Genomic DNA, 5125 nt, shown 5'->3' with positions numbered 1-5125 from the left:
AGTGGTGCAGTCTCGGCTCACTGCAGCCTCTGCCCCTGGGTTCCAGCGACTCTCCTGCCTCAGCCTCCTAGATAGCTGGGATTATAGGCGCATGCCTCCATACCCGGCTAATTTTTGGATTTTTAGTAGAGACGGAGTTTCGCCATGTTGCCTTCTGTTCTTTTACTCTCCTAGTCCGGCATTCTCTTGGGCATGATCAACATTCTCCTCAAGCTGCAGAGTTGAGAGGGACATTTGAAAATCTGCAAGAGTCACACTGGAGATGGAGCCACTCACTCCGTGGCCCTTTGACATTCTCCATGTGACACCATTAATCATGGCCTGGTAGCGCAAGCTTAGGAGTGCTCAGGCTCTTTACTGTTTAATTGCTTTATGTCCAGCATCACATGGGTCATACTAGTTCTTGTTGCTAGTCCAGATTGTCCCAAAAAACTGCACACTAGATCAAGTTATATTCATAAAATCCAGTACATAGCTTTAGAATAGTATTCAGTGGAAATATCTGCACAAGGGTATGCTACAGAATGTTAATGGGACATACTGTCTTGGAGTCAGGGCCATTCTCAAATTTACTCATACAGACATCAGGAGAGACTGACCCTTTTATTTTGTGTTATGAATGTATATTATTTTTAAAAAATAACTTTGTTACTGTAATAGCTCAACTATCATCTCCTATTTGAGGTCTTCCTCAGTTCCTTCAGACAGAGCTAATGACTTTGTTTGGTATGTAACATCATTTTAATAAAAACCACATTGTATAATGGCTGGATGTTTTTCCAGCTCATCCACAAGACTGTAATCCTCTCAAGTCAGAAATCACACTTTCTTCATCTTTGTTTAACTAGTTCCTAGTGCATTGAGTTTTATTAAAGTTTTGTTGAATGAAAAATAAAGTTATTTTTATTTTATCTCAATTTTCCAGGCTTGGGAAAAATAACTCATTGTTACTTTTAGGTGTTACCAAACACCTTGATGAACATTAAGAATCTGTCTAAAGGCCAGGGCATGGTGGCTCACACCTGTAATCTCAGCACTTTGAGAGGCTGAGGCAGGAGGATCACTTAAGCCCAGGAGTTCAGACAAGCCTGGGCAACATAGTGAAACCCCATCTCTACAAAAAATAAAAATACAGGCCTGGGCAAAATGATGAAACCTCATATTTACAAAAATATACAAAAATTAGCCTGGCATGGTGGCTCGCACCAGTAGTCCTAGCTGCTTGGAAGGCTGAGGTGGGAGGATCACCTGAGCCTGAGAGGTAGAGGCTGCAGTGAGCTGTGATTATGCCACTCCACTCCAGCCTGGGTGACAGAGTGAGACCCTGTCTCAAAAAATAATAATAAAAATAAAACTTAAAAAAATAGCCATGAATGGTGGCTCTTGCCTGTTGTCCTAGATACTCAGGAGGCTGGGGTGGGAGTATTGCTTGAGCCCTCTGAATCAGTGATATCCAGTAGGACTTTCTGTGATGATGGTTATTACAAATTTGAAATGTGTCTAGTGCAATTAAAAAAGTGAATTTCTAATATTATTTCATTTTAGTTAATTTAAAAATAAATAGCCAAATATGGTTACAAAACGCTGATTGGTCAGCACCGCTCTGGATGCTTGGCATTTTGCAGACACTTCCACAGGGATAGCCTGTGTTTTGACTTTGAGTCTTTAAATGCCACAGACTAATCTCTATCAACTTCTTCCCTCTGATAGGGTTTTGAACCTAAATTCACCATAAATTAGGGGGAAATGATCTCATGCTGGAACAGATATATATAAGATAATCTTTTTCTAAAAAATGGCCTTAGAATTTAGTAGCATCATTGATTTTTGGTTTTAATTAATGACCTTTAAAATATTTCCCATTACATATTGTATGTTCTGTTCTATTTATCAAAGCGTTTAAAAAATTATCTAAAGAGCCTAATGAGGTTGGATAAAAGATAAGCTTGTTAGACCAATGTCACCTATATTATAAACTCATGAGTCTTTTCAAGTTAATTTATGATCATTAGTGGGGAGACATTTTAGGCAGTATAATGTGTTTTTAATGGAAAATGAACATATTGTTGGACAAATAATCTTCATTTCTCTTGAAAAAAAAAAACTTTCCTGAGATTACAAAGCCATTCTGTTAAAAGAACTATGCACAGTTTACTGAACACATTTGTATAAAACTGTCCATTAAAGACAAATAACAGGTTCTCAAATCAATGCCAATTTTGTTTTGGGGGTTATGTGAGAGGGTGTTTTTGCTCTTTTCCTCAAAAATAGGCTACAGAAAAAAATGTCTATAGAGATGATTAATTCATTCAGAATGTTAGATGTATTTTAAGGGTTTAACCTAAAGAAAATACACTTAACCACAGTAAGAAGGGGATTTCAATTAATAAGATATATAAGAAGAGGACTGTAAAACTGATTGTATAGCTGTAGCTTAATCATAGGTGTTATCTGCTTGTATTTATCATGGAATCCAGAAGACAACAGGCAAGTGTATGTTTTTTGAAGTTTAAACTTAGAAATCCTAATTTAAACCAAGGACCTCAAAAGCAACTAGCTAAACCACTAGCCCCATAATAACTAAATTTAGAAATTCACATTTACAGAGCAATTCACCTATTATTTAACTACAAACTTTTTAGAGTAAAATGAGATCCATTTTCAACAACATCAAACAATACCACAAATGTGAAAACAAACTAATGAGATTCAAAGGAATTGCAGGATTAAAAAATACAAACAATGAAATTTGTTCTCTACATAATACTCATGATTTGTGTTTCTATGGTGTTTTTAAGAAGCAGCTTAATGCATTTCTTATACAGACCTGTGTTTGAACCTTATTTCCATAACTTACTCATATCCTTGCAAAGGTGCTGTGCTTTGATTTCTCCATCAGTAAAATGTAGATAATCATCATGACTTTTATATGGAAAGCATTTAGAATATTAAGTACTCCATAAATATTAGCCATTCTCATTAAAGGCAAGGAATCTCTTCTTTCATTTATTTCTTAAAATGTAAATCTTGATATGTGTGATCTTCTGTAATATCTTTTATTCTCTTTCAAGCATCAGCTATAGGAAGATAAATCGGAGCATTTGCAAGCCTACAGAAAGAGCAGGGGTTAGGAAATTGTAATTGTAAATCAGACTAAAACTCTACTCATTGCCATATAAGTGGCATAAGTACATATGCCAAAATAATTATGAATAATAAATTTAATAGCAAAGTAAACTTCTAGTAGTGAAGCACAGAAGTGATTGCTAATATTATTATATTATATCTTGAAGTTGCTAGCTAGTGAGATCCTCATTAAAAACTTGAAGTTTTTGTTCTGGCTGTTGTTGAAATAACAAGAGGAAAAGAGGACAATCTGTATCCTACCCCAGAATTCTAGCAGATGAACCACAGGAAGGAGAATTGGTGGTGACAGCTGGAAAGAAGAAAGGTGAGCAGACCAAATCTCTAGGGCCTGCAGGAAGAAAAGATTATACTGAAAGCTGACTCCAGATGAGGAAGGTGACTCAAGTGCTTAACCAGCAGGAGGGCCCATATGTTACTTCACAGCAGGGAGACGAGAAAGATGCCCAGTCAGGGATTCGATCAACCCCATGATTATATAATGAATGGAAATACTCACTGGAGTTAGACAGATCTAAGTGTAAATCTTGGCCCAGCCATTTGCTAGCAATGCAACATTAGGCAAGTTTTTTTTTTAAACTCTCTGAGATTTATTTTTATTACTGTAAAATGAAGACAATAATTGCAATTTCTTTTAGTTTTTTGCTTTAAGAAAGACATTTATAAAGTGATTAGCACAATTCCTAGAAGAAAGTAAATTTATTTTTAAATTTTTATTTTTAATTGACAAACAATAACTGTATATATTTATGGGGTACAATGTCATATTTTGATATATATATACATGTTATGGAATAATTAAATCAAGCTAGTTAACATATCTCACACATACTTGTTTTTGTGTGTGATGTAAACATTTAAAATCTACTCTCTTAGCAATTGTGAAATACACATTACATTATTAACTATAGTCACCGTGCTAAGCAATAGATCTCAAAAAATTATTCCTCCTAACAAAAACCTTGTACTCTTTGACCAACTTCTCCCTTTTCCTAAGTTTAAAATTATTATTTGAAGCAAATATTATTCGAGGTTGAGGAAAGATCTCTAAGTAACTGTAGCTTAAATAGATATTAAACTATTAACTCCCATGGAGAATCTGTGAGCTATGAATTGACTAATAGCCCTAGACAGTCATTCATTAAAGATGTTATGCCTTTTATCTTTTTAAAATCTTGGTAGTTTTTCTTAGATTCTCTCCTATTTTGGTTTGTTGACCTTTCTCATGACCTCCTCACCCTGTATTTTCAAATTCAGCTATGACAGGATATGAGGACATAATAAAAATGTCTATGTGCTTCTGAAAATTAGGGCCAACTTCTACCTGATGCCTGATTTAGAAATATCCCTTCTACCTTAGCCACTCAGATACTCTATGAAAGCCTTCTGTCCTGGGAATGCAGTGTAGACTTCATGTGCCCTGGCTTCCTGCTATTATGCCTCTAACAAGGACAGATAAATGATATACAACCACATCCTATATAAGTACTTACAGCAAGTTTGTTTATAGCTTCAGGATAACTAGCAAATAAGAATTCTTCCCCAATGAACAGTTATTTATCACTTACTTTTTAAAAGGCCACTATTCTACAAGCTATAAAGAAGACTGTTAAAAAGATCTAGAAAAATCTGATCTTTTAAATGTAATTTAAAACATTAACTTTCTAGTACTAAGAAACAGAAAAAAAAAGGCTGTAAGTACAATCTTTAGACTGTGCTATTGGGGAACCTGCCCTGATTTTCACGTAGGTTCTTTTCTATTTTCCTTAAGTGTCGGCCAGCTTGAGAAATAAAGGGACAGAGTACAAAAGAGAGAAATTTTAAAGCTGGGCATCCGGGGGAGACATCACATGTCGGTAGGTTCCGTGATGCCCCACAAGCCACAAAAACCAGCAAGTTTTTATTAGGGATTTTCAAAAGGGGAGGGAGTGTGCGAATAGGTGTGGGTCACAGACATCAAGTACTTTACAAGGTAATAGAA

At 35.5% G+C, this 5125-nt stretch overlaps 1 annotated feature.

Annotated features, from left to right (window-relative positions):
- Positions 3269 to 3797: an enhancer, noted in NCBI's record as "NANOG hESC enhancer chr4:90074054-90074582 (GRCh37/hg19 assembly coordinates)". NCBI's record gives its function as "activates a minimal SCP1, AML or CMV promoter by ChIP-STARR-seq in naive H9 embryonic stem cells {active_cell/tissue: H9 hESC(naive)}" and the evidence as "EXISTENCE:reporter gene assay evidence [ECO:0000049][PMID:30033119]".

This window comes from Homo sapiens, chromosome 4, assembly GCF_000001405.40.
Source record: "Homo sapiens chromosome 4, GRCh38.p14 Primary Assembly".
Lineage (NCBI taxonomy): Eukaryota > Metazoa > Chordata > Mammalia > Primates > Hominidae > Homo > Homo sapiens.
This window is presented reverse-complemented; position numbering and strand designations above follow the sequence as displayed.